The following is a 15,244-nucleotide window of genomic DNA, read 5'->3' as shown; positions in this document are numbered from 1 at the left end:
CACGCAGGGCTGGCTCCTGCCATTTTTCACCATTTTTAACCCACCTTGAAGGGGTAGCTGTTCACATATTCACCACCAATGGACTTCTGTGGTACACGAAAGGGAAGAAGTCACACGTTATCTGCCGTATGGCCCTTTGCTGGAGACCGCACAAAGAGATAGTTTATGCAGACATTTATCTACCCTTAGAAAACCTACTAGCCTCCAGCAAAATCATTTTCTTCTCTTTTTTTCTCTTTCAGGGCTTCTCACCAAAAGCACTGGCAGGTTTTCCTTCCTCAATAATAGCCAGCCTCATAGCTTTCTTCATTTACCAAGTGAGCACCTTTCAGTGAAAACACTATGGTTTAATATCCACATCCCAGGAGTCTGGATAAAGCCTGGGACCTTACAGGGGTACATCCATACTGCACAGCTTCAGCATGCCGTCCCAGGCATCACATGTCTACATCCATACTGCACAGCTTCCAGCACACGGTCCCGGGAATCACACTCTTTTTTTTTTTTTTTGAGACAGGGTCTCATTCTGTCACCCAGGCGGGAGTACAGTGGCACGATCATGGCTCACTGCAGCCTCAACCTCCTGGGCTCAACCAATCCTTCCACCCCACACTTCCAAGTAGCTGGGACCACAGGTGTGCACCACCACACCCAGCTAATTTTTGTATTTTTTGTAGAGACAGGGTTTCAACTCAAACTCCTGAGCTCAAGCCATCCTCTGGCCTCAGCTTCCCAAAGTGCTGGGATTACAGGTGTGAGCCACCGCACCCAGCCTGGGATCACATCTCTTTTTTTTATTTTCATTTTTTATTTTTTTGAGACTGAGTCTCGCTCCGTCACCAGGCTGGAGTGCAGTGGCAAGATCTCGGCTCACTACAAACTCCACCTCCCGGGTTCAAGTGGTTCTCATGCCTCAGCCTCCCAAGTAGCTGGGATTACAGGCACGCACCATCACACCCAGCTAGTTTTTGTATTTTTAGTAGAGATGGGGTTTCACCATGTTGGCCAGGATAGTCTCGATCTCCTGACCTCATGATCTGCCCGCCTTGGCCTCCCAAAGTGATGGGATTACAGGCGTGAGCCACCACACCTGGCTGGGATCACAACTCTTTAGACCCTACTCTTTCCCTGTCTTTGCCCCAAAGAGGCAGTGTGGAAGAGAGCTACCCTTGCTTACTAAGATCAGCATATCTTTAATCTGTGGCAACTTCATGTAAAATATGGAACAAGAAGAAAATAACCCCCAAAACTCCAGGGGTTTTTTTCCGAAAAATGTGCCTCAAGATTTATTGAAACGTCTGAATCTCATTTTCAGCACATTAAAGATCTGGATTGCAAATGTACAGGTTATGTATTTTGTGATGTGTTTCTGATAGAATTCAGGGATCAGGGAAGGAAAGATATTATTACTGATAGATTCTTTGAGGGTGAAGGGAGGGTCTTAGGAAACTGACTTCAACTTAAAAAAGAAAGGTAATTTGGTTTTAATCTTCAAAAAAAGTGCAGTTCATTTTGAAAAAAAATCACTGAGACTCACATTTTTGTGTTTAACAACAACCTTGAAATTGGTCTGCCTCAGAGGACAGCATGATTCTGGGCTACCTTAGCATGAATGATTTATGACATTCATGAACTTGGCAACTACATCAGTTTTTCTAAACCTGGCACCCAACACCACCTGCATGTTAAGTGAAGATTTATGATTTATAAAACTCACCTCATTATGCAGAGGTACATGAATTGTCTTATATCTGTAATCTATAACTCCCAAGACAGATAAGAAGGCAGCTATGTCACAGAATTTATGGCTCCTACCCACTAAAGCTGAAGTTTTAGAGAAAAACTGCAGAAATAACTGGCCCTTTGGAGAAAAATAGCTTTAGCTAACCATTACACCCCCAAATGATGAAATGGCTATAACCCACCATTATATCTTACATGAACAAAGAGGCTAACGGCAAAAGTCACTTTAATCACAGCACTGAACTATGTCCCCCTTTTGAATGCTGCGGTAATACACAGAACCTAAGTGACTTCTTGGAAATATCAAGCACTCTGTCAGTTTAATTTTTTCCCCAGTTTGGTGTCTGAGACCTCTTGCTGAGATTTCTCATCAAGTGGCCCAGCCAGACCCACAGACACGGACTTCAGGGAAGACAATTCAATACCTGGTTGTGTCTAATGGCTTCCTGCATATACCCCTAAAGTGAAGAAGATCACATGTTGATTTGAATTCTGAAAAGCAGCTTGTTCTCAGAGATATTTTAGAAATGCAGCCTCTCTCTCCCTATACCCTGAAAAAATAAAAAATAAATAAAAACTTGGAAGAACAGAGCATTCAGTGGAATAAACTTATGTAGCTTATGGAATAAGATTATATAGCTAGCCATTAAAAATGACAAGTATATGGGACCAGGTTGACATGCAGAAATCTTTAGACAATAGTAAACAAAATAAGCAGAACACAAAATGATAGAAAAAAATGATGTTTCAGTCCTAGAGATTTTCAATGGTATAAAGCTAAATGAAAAACAATAAAACCCTAAATAATCTATTTTCAAATTTCCCTACCAATAAGGAAATAGATATATACACATGGCTGCTGACTGCCCTGAATCTGAGAAGCACCCCACGCCTCCCTCCTCTGCAGAGCTCTCCAAAGAACATTCTACTCTCTCTGGCCTTTGAGTACTCTCAAAGAACACCAGCACTCAGATACCTAGGTCCACCGAAGAAAGCTGAAAATGTAAATGTCTTTACGTAGCAGGAGGAAAAGTACTCGAAAAAAAGAAGGTAGGAAACCCCCTTCCGTATTTGATAACTAAATAAACCTTTTAGGGAGATTGCTCTTTGCTATTTACTTAGTAACTTGATTTCTGAAATGTGTCTGGGATTCTCCCAGTTCTGACTTTGAGCTCTAGTGCCAGTGTGGTCACTCTAACTCGTGAAAATGATACTCCACTCACAAAATGGTGTCCTAGAACAAGAGGACAATATCAATGAACCACAGATTACACACCAGAAAAAGTGAAACGTCTTTGGCAACTGGGACTATACTCGAGAGCAGATAGATGCACAGACAGACCCCAGGGAAGAATTGTATTTGGGTTCAGGGACTCAGTTACCACTCCTCCTTAAGCGGCCTGTTGACACTTTACCACTCAAACACAGATGCTGTTCTCCAGGGCTCTGGGTGCTGATGTTCTGTTGGCTGCCTTTAATCCTGAAAGTGACTTCCCCAGTTCAGGCCAGGGATTCATGCTGTAATGGAATGAGAGAGAAGTGGGCCAGTACCATACACATGTACACCAATGCACACACCCAACACAACCTAGGACAGAGCAGACTTCCTTTGGGAAGCCATGCAAAGTTGCAGAGCACAGGCAGGATGGCCTCATTCACGGCTTCTACCCATTGGCACGCTTAGAAACAGTTTATTCTGGCAGGGTGCAGTGGCTCATGCCTGTAATCCCAGCACTTTGGGAGGCCAAGACGGGTGAATCACCTGAGCTCAGGAGTTAGAGACCAGACTGGCCAACATGGTGAAACCCCGTCTCTACTAAAAACACAAAAATTAGCTGGGCATGGTGACGCATGCCTGTAGTCCCAGCTACTTGGGAGGCTGAGGCACAAGAATTGTTTGAGCCTGGAAGGTGGAGGATGCAGTGAGTCTTGGTCGTGCCACTGTACTCCAGCCTGGGCAACAGAGCAAGACTTTGTCTCAAAAAAAAAAAAAAAAAGAAAAGAAACAGTTCATTTTTTTATGGAAGAGAGGTGTTCATGAGACCCTTATGCAAGCAGATCCCCTTTTCCCTTGAAGAACTCGTCAAAGCGATCCTTCCAGGTAAACTGGCTTGCTTCAGGTCATGGCACACACACACACAAGCCCTCTCACCCAACCCCTCAACCACTAGTTGAATAAAACAAGCAATTGGCACTTAAACTAAAGGCTGGGCCTGTAAGGTAAACCAGTGACCCATGTGACACCTTGGCACTTTTCTGGGCCTTTACTCTGCCCGACAAGGCTTTCCATATGGGATGATGTAATCAAGCCACACAGAGGAAGGCAGCAAGGGTGGTACAAGCAGCCCCAGGGATACTTTGGGGTACAGGAAAGAAGTATTTAAATCTATTTCTATTTTATCTCTTTCATTTTTGTTTTCTATTTTTATGTATTTGTAATAATAGTACTATATACACATATGTAGTTTATAAATACATGAACATACACATAATGGGAGGATGTGCGCCAATATTTTTCTAATAGGGACATGTAATGAAAAAATTTGGAGACAAGAAGACACCACAGAGTTTGGGCTATTTCTAAAAAGACGTGGTCCTTAATCTCCACCCCACCGACAGAATCCCCCTCTATTAAACATGCAGATTCCACGACCCATCTCAGACCTGAATGTCCAGAGGTGGGATACCAGTGCTCTGCATGCTTAAAGAACCACCTAGTAATTCTGACTGCTACTGAAGTTTGGGTACCATTGCAGCACAAGAATTAGAGAAGCTAACATAAAAAGGCTGAGCTAGAAAAAGGCAGAGTCAGTGCAGATGAGAACACCAGAAATCCATTTCTAAGAAGAAAACAGGTAACTGGCCGCTACAGCTCCTGATGGAGCCTGACTAAGAAGTCCCTGTTCTTCCAGCATTCTGGCTGTATGGGTATTGAGACAATGGCTTTACTTTCCCAACTAGTCTTCCATTAAACTCTCATCTCCTAAGGAAACCTGGGTATTTCCTCTCTTGACAGTTGAGGAACAGGAATGGGGAAACTGAGAAACTGTCTTGGTCAGCTCAGGCTGCTACAACAAAATATTGTAGACTGGATGGCTTAAACAATAGACAGTTCTTCCTTACACTTCCCGAGGCTGAAAGTCTGAGATGAGGGTGCCAGCATGGTGGGTTCTGGTGTGGGCTCTCTTCATGGGGAAGGGGAGATCATCTTTCCTGTTTCCTCTTGTAAAGGCACTAATTCCGGCTGGGCGCAGTGGCTCACGCCTGTAATCCCAGCACTTTGGGAGGCTGAGGCGGGTGGATCACGAGGTCAGGAGATAGAGACCATCCTGGCTAACATGGTGAAACCCCGTCTCTACTAAAAATACAAAAAATTAGCCGGGCGTGGTGGCAGGCACCTGTAGTCCCAGTTACTCGGGAGGCTGAGGCAGGAAAATGGCATGAACCCGGGAGGCGGAGCTTGCAGTGAGCTGCGATCGCCACTGCACTCCAGCCTGGGTGACAGAGTGAGACTCTGACTCAATAAATAAATAAATAAATAAATAAATAAAGGCACTAATTCCATCATGAGGGCCCATCTTCATGATTTAATCACCTCCCAAAGGCCCATTTCCAAATATAATCATATTGGGAATTAGGGATTCAACACATAAATTTTGGGGGACACACACATTCAGTCTATAGCAGAAACCAACAGCTCCTCGCATAGAGAGAGCATATAATCTAAGCGAACTGAAAAGGCAACTGACGTAATTTCACTAATCATGTGCCTGAAAGGGTGAGGACAGGATAGGAGGAAGAGGGTGATGAGCCAGAATTGTCTGTAAGCATTTGAAAAAGGTCCTGGACTGACTAAACATTTAACCTGAAGTCATGTGGGTTATTTCTAAAAAGCATAGCAAGTTAAAAAAGGAGGCTGTAGAGCAGAAGCTGGAACAGTCTGTGTGACCTTGGGCAATTCACTGATTCTCTCTGTTCTTTATCTAAGGTTCTTTCCAGGTTTCTAGAACCCAAGTTCAGGCTTAACGGCTAGTTCAGGGTTCCTTTCACACTATATCATGCTGGTCAAGAATAAATTACAAACTTGGCCCTCTAAACTAAAAAATCCAGAAAAGGCTCCTACATCTTTAAGAATTAAATATTAAATAGATCTTCATGAGGAGCAAATCTCTTGTTTTGTCAGCCCTCCCCACTCCCAGTAGGAACTTCTTGCACAAGGCCTTGGCCTATCCAATAGCCAACTATTTTCCAAACCTGATTGAAAATCCAGAGTGAGCATAACTGACTGCTTTCTACCTTGAGCAATGAGACTACATTGTCACTGGAATGTAAATGTCCTATCTAATCAAAGTGACATCTTATTTTGATTTATTGCTGCCTTACTTTTCTTTTAGGGTCATCCTGTATTTCTCTTTTCTCCTAACAGAAAGAGGGCAGGTTGGTGGGTTACTAGGCATTCACCATAGAATGAAACTTGCTAATTGTCACCACTTCTGGGGCCAGGGACATCACCTGCCATAATTCTTCCTACACTTTGCTGGGGCAAGCTCTGTTGAACCAGACTTGAGTGGAGCGACACTGTGTAATGCACTCCAATAGAGTATAGCTAATGCCAAAAGAGAAAAGTGGGAACTGTCTCCTGAAATCTGCCAAAGGTACATGAAAAATTCCAAGGAGAACAAAGGTGACAAATCCCTGCAGTATGCCACATTTTTATTTCCTGAAGATGGAAAGTGCCACAGCATGCTATTCATCTCTGGGGAAACTGAATAAAATGTCTTCTGAGTCACCAGTTTAAAGAGACTTTACTTTAAAAATATAAACTTGATCCTATGAGTTATAATACAGATTGAACTTTATAGTTGTCCTGGAACCTAAATAATTCTAAAAAAGGTTAAAGTATTTCTAACTTTTTAATTCTGCTGCCTAAAATAACTGCTATTAATAATGTATTAGGCCAGTATTATAAAACGCACCTTCTGGATATGTGAAAGTAGAGGTAAAAGATAAGACCTAGCTTGGTTATTAGACAGCAGAGCCTAGTGTTTAGTAGTGCAGGTTCTGGAGTTAAGAGAGTTTGGCTTCAAATTCTAGTTTCACCATTCAATTGCTATGTAACCACTCTAGGCCTCAGTTTCCACATCTGCAAAATGGTAATACCAATAATATTTACTTGAGACTATTGTTGTGAACATGTCAGTAAATAATGTATATAAAGCATTTGTAAGGCACTTAAAATGAACGCTCAACAACTATTGGTGATTACTATTCTAATGACAATTCCTATTAATGAATGAGTTATTTAAATACTTAAAAGTTGAAACTAGTTACCTGTCTTCAAATATGCTAAAGTAACAATCATGCCAGTTAGAATATTATTAAAAATATAGGCCAGGCATTGTAGCTCACGCCTGTAATCTCAGCACTCTGGGAGGCTGAGCCAGGAGGACTGCTTGAGGCCAGAAGTTTGAGACCAGCCTAGGCAACACAGCAAGACCCTATCTCTATAAAAGAAAAAATAATTATACATATATAATTATTTCCTGAATAATATATATGTATGGCATACACAGGTATTGGACAGCCGCCTGCTCTGTTTGGTAAACATTTATCTGCATGCAGATTATGCATTAGCTCCTTCCATTTCCCAATTTTGCACTGAGATGACAACAGAAATGAAATACAGCACTGTGCTGTAGAAGAATTATACCATTTAGCTACGGATCTGTCCATTCTTGCTCATCTGAACCTTTATGTTTTTAGATTCAGGTTCATTTCCTTGAGCCTTCAGGCTGTAGCCCATGTTAATTTGCAAAGCAGTCCAGTAGCCTGTCCTTCACGCTGAAGATATGATAAAGCTTGTGCTTTGAATATCTAGCGCTACCACATCCCCCTTGTGGTCGTGGAGAGTATTTGCAAGGCGCCTGAGAAACCACCAGAAACAGCAAACACACTGGATGTACCCATAGGATCGTAGTTTCCTACACCCTTAGATAACAACATTTGATTCCAGGATTCTTTTTTTTTTTTTTTTTTAGACGGAGTCTTGCTCTGTCGCCCAGGCTGGAGTGCAGTGGCTGGATTTCGGCTCACTGCAAGCTCCGCCTCCCGGGTTCACGCCATTCTCCTGCCTCAGCCTCCCGAGTAGCTGGGACTACATGTGCCCGCCACCGCGCAAGGCTAATTTTTTGTATTTTTAGTAGAGACGGGGTTTCACCGTGGTCTCGATCTCCTGACCTCGTGATCCACCCGCCTCGGCCTCCCAAAGTGCTGAGATTACAGGCGTAAGCCACCGCGCCCGGCCTAATTCCAGGATTCTTTTGATTAACACTTCGTGGCTTTTTAACGTATAGAGCAAGAAAAAGGAAAGCGAACTCTCGGCCGGCGCGGTGGCTCACGCCCATAATCCCAGTATTTTGGGAGGCCGAGGAAGGCGGATCTCTTGAGGTCAGGAGTTCGAGACCAGCCTGGCCAATATGGTGAAACCCCATCTGTACTAAAAATACAAAAAAAAAAAAAAAAAAAGAAGAAGAAAAGAAAAACTCTTAGGAGAACCAGTTAATACAACAGAGAAGTGAGAAGTATGCAGTTTCTCCAATTATTTCCACCTGCCCTTCTCCGCCCCGTCATGTACAACGTAAGAACATAATGTTTTTTATTGCATTTCAATGTTCAATATTATTTGTCACTCCTCTGTCTTCTTTGCATCGGTATATTGTTTTAGAATCTAAATCTCTACAAACAGGAATCATGAGCCTGTTTGGATAGCCTTTAAGAAAGCCTGCCTTCTCATTTTTCTTCCTTTCTCTCTCTTTTTTTTTTGGGGGGGGGGGGGGGCGGAGTCTGGCTCTGTCACCTGGAGTGCAGTGGTGCAATCTCCACTCACTGCAACCTCCGCCTCCTGGGTTCAGGCAATTCTCCTGCCTCAGCCTCCCGAGTAGCTGGGGTTACAGGTGCCCACTACCACGCCTGGTTAATTTTCGTATTTTTAGTAGAGACGAGGATTTCACCATGTTAGCCAGGCTGGTCTCGGACTCCTGACATCAGGTGATCCACCCGCCTCAGCATCCCAAAGTGCTGGGATTACAGGCGTGAGCCACCACGCCCGGCCGCATCTTTCTTTTCTCTCTTTCTCTTTCCTTCCTTTCCTTATTTCCTTTTCTCCTTCCTTCTTTCCCTCCTTCCCTCCCTCCTTCCTTCCTTTCTCCTTTCTTTCTGTTTTTTTGTTTTTTGTTTTTTTTAATGTCTCGCTGTGTCACCCAGACTGGAGTGAAATGGCACAATCATAATCACGACTCACTGCAGCCTCGACCTCTCTTGGCTCAGGTGATTCTTCCACCTCAGCCTCCCGAGTAGCTGGTAGCTGGGACTACAGGTGCACCACCATGCCCGGCTAATTTTTTGTAGAAATGGGGTTTTGCCATGTTGCCCAGGCTGTTCTCAAATTCCTGAACTCAAGTGATCCTCCCACTCCAGCCTCCCAAGTAGGTGGGACTACAGGTGCTTGCTACCATGCCCAGCCAATTTAAAAAAAAAAAAAAAAAAAATTGGCCGGCCGCAGTGGCTCACGCCTGTAATTCCAGCATTTGGGATGCCGAGGCGGGCGGATCCCTTGAGTTCAGGAGTTGGAGACCAGCCTGGGCAACAAGGCGAAACCCCGTCTCTACGAAAAATACAAAAATTAGCCAGGCGTAGTGCCGCATGTCTGTAATCCCAGCTACTCGGGGGAGGGGGGCGCTGAGGCGGCACTGGAATCATCTGAGCCCAGAGAGGTGGAGGCTGCAGTAAGCTGAGACTGCACCACTACACTGCAGCCTGGGCGACAGAGGCTAAAGATGGAGTCTCACTCTGTCGCTCAGGCTGATCTCGAACTCCTGGGTTCAAGTGATCCTCCCACCTCGGCCTCCCAAAGTGCTGGGATTACAGGCGTGAGCCACCGCCTGGCCACCCCTGCCTTCTGAGAGAACTAAAAACAAGAGAAATGAAGTGTTAAGTAACTAGTGAGGATAATATAGTAATAGCTGACAGTTAAGAGTGTGTGGGAGGCTTTTTAAAAACTTTTAGAATCTATATAATCTATAACCCATGTTACGTTAGACTTTTGTTTATTTTCTTACTCCCACTGCCATCCTCCTCAGAATGTAAACTCTTCAGTTAGCTTCTTTCCCTCCCCAACTTTCCCCAACATTTCCTTCACAGTTCCTCACCCAGGGGTGACTACTTAATAATACAGATCTTCCTGAAGAGATAGGGGGTCTGAAACATTTCTCTTTTTTTGAAAGCGGGCTTCCAGGACAAATTGCTTCATCTCCAAAATCAAGTTCAATCTGTCATCAGCCATTCGTTCGTGTTTTGCTTTCGCTGTATTCCTACCACCTGGGAGAGTGACTGACACACGGTAGGCATGCCAAAACATATCTGTTGAATCAATTAATTCCTCTTCTTAAAAATCTAAAACTGGGTTGGGCGCGGTGGCTCACGCCTGTAATCCCAGCACTTTGGGAGGCCGAGGCAGGCAGATCACGAGGTCAGGAGATCGAGACCATCCTGGCCAACATGGTGAAACCCGGTGTCTACCAAAAATATAAAAATTAGCTGGGCGTGGTGGCGCGCGCCTGTAATCCCATCTACTTGGGAGGCTGAGGCAGGAGAATAGCTTGAACCAGGGAGTCAGAGGTTGCAGTGAGCCGAGATGGCGCCACTGCACTCAAGCCTGGCGACAAAGACTGCCTCAAAAAAAAAAACAAAAACCTAAAAACTGGTCACAGGGTAGTGAAGTAGTTGACATCCTGCCACCAGCACAAGGTTTAAAAAGGGCCAGAGGAGTCTCAAGTCAGGCCCAGCACAGTGGGGAGAGGAAGAGCCTGAAGCTCAGCTATTTTTCTTTTTTTTCTTGAGACGGAGTCTCGCTCTGTCGCCCAGGCTGGAGTGCAGTGGCGCGATCTCGGCCCACTGCAAGCTCCGCCTCCCGGGTTCACGCCGTTCTCCTGCCTCAGCCTCCCGAGTAGCTGGGACTACAAGCGCCTGCCACCACGCCCGGCTACTTTTTCGTATTTTCAGTAGAGACGGGGTTTCACCGTGTTAGCCAGGATGGTCTCGATCTCCTAACCTCGCGATCCGCTCGCTTCGGCCTCCCAAAAGTGCTGGGATTACAGGCGTGAGCGCCCGGCCAAGCTCAGCTATTTTTTTTTCCCTTTGTGCAGGCTAATTGGCCTAATGTTCTGTGTGAATCAAACGCTTCGTAGTTGGAAACCCAAGACCCCTGTGATAAAACGCAACACGAAATTGTTTAACGTCTGTCTGCATATCCAAGTGTCTTTCAAGTTGTGAACAACGGGCGGGACCAAACAACAAAAGTACTGACGTCCTCACTTCACAAAGCCACAAGACAAGATGGCGCCGTCCTCCAGGAGCGGGAGCTGGGAACACGTCCACGCCCGGGGGGTGTGCACGCGCCCGGGCTCGCCCCAGGGAACGCTGGCGTGCACTCGGGCACCCAGTGAGCGCCGCAGTTAGTCTCCACCCATGTTTTCCGCCACTCCTTGCGCACATGCGCTCTAGGTTCTTAGCTGGATGTCTGTTGCGCCAACAGGCTCCTCCTCCCGCGCAACTGACGCAAGAAGACTGTAATCGGTTCGCAATTTATCCCGTGTGACCTTGAGTCTTTCCTGTCGCCGAGGACCGGGGCTGTCCGAGATACGGCCTTCATATCCCTCTTCCTCCCCTGGACTCTTTCTGAGCTCAGAGCCGCCGCAGCCGGGACAGGAGGGCAGGCTTTCTCCAACCATCATGCTGCGGAGCATATTACCTGTACGCCCTGGCTCCGGGAGCGGCAGTCGAGTATCCTCTGGTCAGGCGGCGCGGGCGGCGCCTCAGCGGAAGAGCGGGCCTCTGGGCCGCAGTGACCAACCCCCGCCCCTCACCCCACGTGGTTGGAGGTTTCCAGAAGCGCTGCCGCCACCGCATCGCGCAGCTCTTTGCCGTCGGAGCGCTTGTTTGCTGCCTCGTACTCCTCCATTTATCCGCCATGATAAGTGCCAGCCGAGCTGCAGCAGCCCGTCTCGTGGGCGCCGCAGCCTCCCGGGGCCCTACGGCCGCCCGCCACCAGGTGAGGAACTGGGACCTTCCCGAATGGGGTCACGGCCTCGGGCCTTGGGCCTCGGGCTTCGCTGCGGCAGGCCGCGCGCCCTTTAGGGTTTGAATTCTCCAGTATAGGTCAGGCGGGAAGGAAGGTAACGGGCCTTCCATAGTTAGCGCTGCCGGGTCAAGATTTTGCCCAAGGTTTTGCCTCCGGCTTGGGCCCTGCTGAGTCACACCCCTCGCGATCTAGAGTGTCATTTCAAAATTACCAGGTAGTGGTCCTCATGGCCTGTTCTGTGGCTGAATGGAAAGGTTTGGCCTTGGGGGTGAGGGATGCAGTCTATTGGGAAAGCCACTATTTTCAGTTTTATTTTTGGCTCCTCTACAGAATACAGAGTGTGTAAGGATCCCGTTGATACGGTGAAATAAAATAAGAAAGCTCTGAGTCGGAACTCCAGTTTTCGTGCTTAGCAACATTTTCTCAAAATCTGTGGTGTAAGATTGTACTCGTTTGTTACTTCAGAAAAAAAAGCAGATCGTGGGGCGGAGAAAAGGCTATGGAGTGGTTACTTGTTTTCTAAAATAAAAGACAAATGCTTTAGAGAACAGGAATTGTATGTGGGCATTAAGGAAGGCTTGGAAGGAGCCTGAGGTTAAGTTGTAATAAAGGTCTTTTATCCTAGTGAAACGCCACTACTTTTCTTTTTTCTTTCAAAGACCCTTAGTAACTCTAGTTCTTTTAAACTAATTGCACGGCAAGGTAAGGGGAAGTGTTTTCCCCCAGGGGACATCTGGCAATGTCTGTGGATATTTTAGGTTGTCACTTACTTACTGGGGTGCTTATTGGTTTCTAGGGTGTCGAGGCCAGGGATGCTGCTGTATATCCTACAATGCACAGAACAGCCCCCACCACAAAAATTTCGCCCAAAATTAATAGCGCCACGGTTGAGAAATCCTACTGTAATGTGATTCTAAGGCCATCTTTTATTTACCTTTTTTCGTCTTACTTATTTGGGAAACTTTAATATTTACTGTTTTAGTAGCTTAATGTATTTTATATACTAAGTGAGCCCAAGTTTTCTCTTTTTCCTCCCAGGATACACACTGGTTGGTGACTGAGTCAGTTTTTTCTTTTTTAGGATAGCTGGAATGGCCTTAGTCATGAGGCTTTTAGACTTGTTTCAAGGCGGGATTATGCGTAAGTATAATATCATTTCCTTTGAGAGGGAATACATATTAAACTTCAAAGCAGTGTTTTCTACATTTGTGATTATTCTTCTCTGTAATTATTTATCTGTATTTATTTAGAGATTATGTAGTATACCACTGTTAATTTTCCAATTAAATATTATCTTCCAGTGACTTTGGTCTATCAAGATAACAATAGCTGTGACACTGTTCTAAATGTCTTACAGATCAGAAGCAATCAAGGGAGCAGTTGTTGGTATTGATTTGGGTACTACCAACTCCTGCGTGGCAGTTATGGAAGGTAAACAAGCAAAGGTGAGCATGATTGATAACTAGTACCTTATCCAGAATCTGTCCAGAATTCTGTGCTCTTTTCCTTAGTTAAGGAATTTGAGAACCTGATTTGCGCTTTTTTTTTTTTTTTTTTTTTTTTTTTGGAGACAGTCTCTATAGCCCATGGTGGAGTGCAGTGGCACGGTCTCCGCTCACTGCAACCTCTGCCTCCTGGGTTCAAACAGTTCTCCTGCCTTGGCCACATAGCTGGGATTACAGGCATGAACCACCATTCCTGGCTAATTTTTTGTATTTTCAGTAGAGACAGTTCCACTGTGTTGGCCAGGCTGGTCTTGAGCTCAAGTGATCCGCCCACGTTGGCCTCCAAAGTGCTGGGATTACAGATGTGAACCACTAAGCCTGGCCTCGAAGTACTTCCAACTAAAACAGCAAAAACATAACTATAGATCAGGGCTGACCGGGCATAATGGCTCACGCCTGCAGTCCCAGCACTTTGGGAGGCCAAGGGGGGTGGATTACCTGAGGTCCCAAGTTCAAGACCAGCCCGGCCAAAATGGTGAAACCCCGTCTCTACTAAAAATGCAAAAAATTGGCCGGGTACAGTGGCTCACACCTGAAATCCTAGCACTTTGGGAGGCCAAGGCGGGTGGATCACAAGGTCAAGAGATCGAGACCATTCTGGCCAACATGGTGAAACCTGTCTCTACTAAAAATACAAAAATTAGCTGGGCGTAGTGGCACACACCTGTAGTCCCCGCTACTCGGGAGGCTGAGGCAGGAGAATCGCTTGAACCCAGGAGGTGGAGGTTGCAGTGAGCCAAGATCACATCACTGTACTCCAGCCTGGGTGACAGAGCGAGACTTTGTCTCAAAAAAAAAAAAAGAAGAGACTATAGATCAGGTTTTTCATACCCAATGTTGGGACAAGAATCTTTACTTCCACATGGAGAATTATATCTACTTCTAAGTTTTTTGGGGGGTTGGCCACAGATATCAGGCATATAGGAAAAATGCCAAGAAGCCCAAATTAGGGCCAAGAGAAGGAATAATCTCTTGGTGCCAAACAAGTGGGATAAGAAGACCATAGACAGTTCAGGTTATTTCAGAAGAGGAGATTGGGGGGAAAGGAAGTATGAAAGCAAAAGAGGCCATGAATGGAAGAAGCAAGAGTCAAGAATTCCAGGTGTTCTAAATCTTGCTAAGAACCCGGTGGGAATAAAGGTTGCATGTACAGAGTAAGGAGGCTTCAAAAGAAATAGCCTGCTCCAATGAACAACATGCATTACTTCAGAGATGAAGCTCCACTTCTAGTCTGTCTCTGCACACCCAACTTTGTTTCAATTTAGAAAATGCAGCACTTTGGTGGTTACCAGAGTAACCAAACAGTGCAAGCCATTCCCACCCCTCTTAATAGTAAATTAGTAGTCCTACCTCTATACCACATTTAAATCCTTTTCTGGGAAGTTAGATACATACAATTATCAGCACTACAAAGGTTCACCTGACAAGAGTCTTAAGCAACCAAAGCAGTTTTTAAAATGTAAATCAGGGCCAGGCCTGGTGGGTCATGCCTGTAATCCCAACACTTGGGGAGGCCACTTGAGTGTGGGAGTTGAAGATCACCCTAGGCAACATAGCAAAACACTGTCTCTACAAAAAATTAGCCGGGCATAGTGGTGTGCCCCTGTAGTCCCAGCTACTCTGGAGGCTAAGGTGGGAGGATCAGCTGAGGCTGGCAGGTCAATGCTGCAGTGAGCCGTGACAGTGCCACTGCACTCCAGCCTAGGTGACAGTGAGACTCTGTCTCAAAAAAAAAAAAAAAAGCCAGGCGCAGTGCCTCAAGCCTGTAATCCCAGCATTTTGGGAGGCCAAGGTGGGCGGATCGCCTGAGGTCAGGAGTTCGAGACCAGCCTGGCCAACTTGGCAAAACCCCATCTCT

At 45.6% G+C, this 15,244-nt stretch overlaps 1 protein-coding gene and 1 long non-coding RNA gene across 3 annotated transcripts in view, besides 7 other annotated features; one reads left to right on the top strand and one right to left on the bottom strand.

The window, feature by feature from the left end:
• Nucleotides 1–1,999: 1,999 nt before the first annotated feature.
• Nucleotides 2,000–15,244, bottom strand: part of LOC105379193 (uncharacterized) — a 14,012-nt gene continuing 767 nt past the window's right edge. Inside the window, exons 2-3 of one of the 2 annotated variants that reach the window (XR_001742899.1) lie at nucleotides 3,126–3,261; nucleotides 2,000–2,294 (exon numbers count right to left, since the gene is read on the bottom strand). This is a non-coding gene — a long non-coding RNA (uncharacterized LOC105379193). The remainder of the gene's footprint in view (nucleotides 2,295–3,125; nucleotides 3,262–15,244) is intronic. The other variant, XR_001742900.1, reaches the window with a different exon arrangement.
• Nucleotides 7,546–7,595: an enhancer, noted in NCBI's record as "active region_23210". NCBI's record gives its function as "activates an Ori minimal core promoter by ATAC-STARR-seq in GM12878 lymphoblastoid cells {active_cell/tissue: GM12878}" and the evidence as "EXISTENCE:reporter gene assay evidence [ECO:0000049][PMID:35858748]".
• Nucleotides 10,811–11,459: an enhancer, noted in NCBI's record as "NANOG-H3K27ac-H3K4me1 hESC enhancer chr5:137911319-137911967 (GRCh37/hg19 assembly coordinates)". NCBI's record gives its function as "activates a minimal SCP1, AML or CMV promoter by ChIP-STARR-seq in naive and primed H9 embryonic stem cells {active_cell/tissue: H9 hESC(naive and primed)}" and the evidence as "EXISTENCE:reporter gene assay evidence [ECO:0000049][PMID:30033119]".
• Nucleotides 11,094–11,233: an enhancer, noted in NCBI's record as "active region_23209". NCBI's record gives its function as "activates an Ori minimal core promoter by ATAC-STARR-seq in GM12878 lymphoblastoid cells {active_cell/tissue: GM12878}" and the evidence as "EXISTENCE:reporter gene assay evidence [ECO:0000049][PMID:35858748]".
• Nucleotides 11,374–11,653: an enhancer, noted in NCBI's record as "active region_23208". NCBI's record gives its function as "activates an Ori minimal core promoter by ATAC-STARR-seq in GM12878 lymphoblastoid cells {active_cell/tissue: GM12878}" and the evidence as "EXISTENCE:reporter gene assay evidence [ECO:0000049][PMID:35858748]".
• Nucleotides 11,374–12,107: a biological region, named in NCBI's record as "NANOG-H3K27ac-H3K4me1 hESC enhancer GRCh37_chr5:137910671-137911318".
• Nucleotides 11,460–12,107: an enhancer, noted in NCBI's record as "NANOG-H3K27ac-H3K4me1 hESC enhancer chr5:137910671-137911318 (GRCh37/hg19 assembly coordinates)". NCBI's record gives its function as "activates a minimal SCP1, AML or CMV promoter by ChIP-STARR-seq in naive H9 embryonic stem cells {active_cell/tissue: H9 hESC(naive)}" and the evidence as "EXISTENCE:reporter gene assay evidence [ECO:0000049][PMID:30033119]".
• The window catches only part of HSPA9 (heat shock protein family A (Hsp70) member 9), a 21,646-nt gene continuing 18,089 nt past the window's right edge, over nucleotides 11,688–15,244 (top strand). Inside the window, exons 1-3 of the mRNA NM_004134.7 lie at nucleotides 11,688–11,851; nucleotides 12,963–13,021; nucleotides 13,239–13,326. Of these exons, the coding sequence (NP_004125.3) occupies nucleotides 11,771–11,851; nucleotides 12,963–13,021; nucleotides 13,239–13,326 (228 nt within the window). The 5' untranslated portion in view covers nucleotides 11,688–11,770. The remainder of the gene's footprint in view (nucleotides 11,852–12,962; nucleotides 13,022–13,238; nucleotides 13,327–15,244) is intronic.
• Nucleotides 11,894–11,943: an enhancer, noted in NCBI's record as "active region_23207". NCBI's record gives its function as "activates an Ori minimal core promoter by ATAC-STARR-seq in GM12878 lymphoblastoid cells {active_cell/tissue: GM12878}" and the evidence as "EXISTENCE:reporter gene assay evidence [ECO:0000049][PMID:35858748]".

The sequence above is a fragment of the Homo sapiens genome, chromosome 5 (genome assembly GCF_000001405.40).
Source record: "Homo sapiens chromosome 5, GRCh38.p14 Primary Assembly".
NCBI lineage: Eukaryota > Metazoa > Chordata > Mammalia > Primates > Hominidae > Homo > Homo sapiens.
The sequence above is the reverse complement of the archived record's forward strand: the minus strand, read 5'-3'. Positions and strand labels throughout refer to the sequence as shown.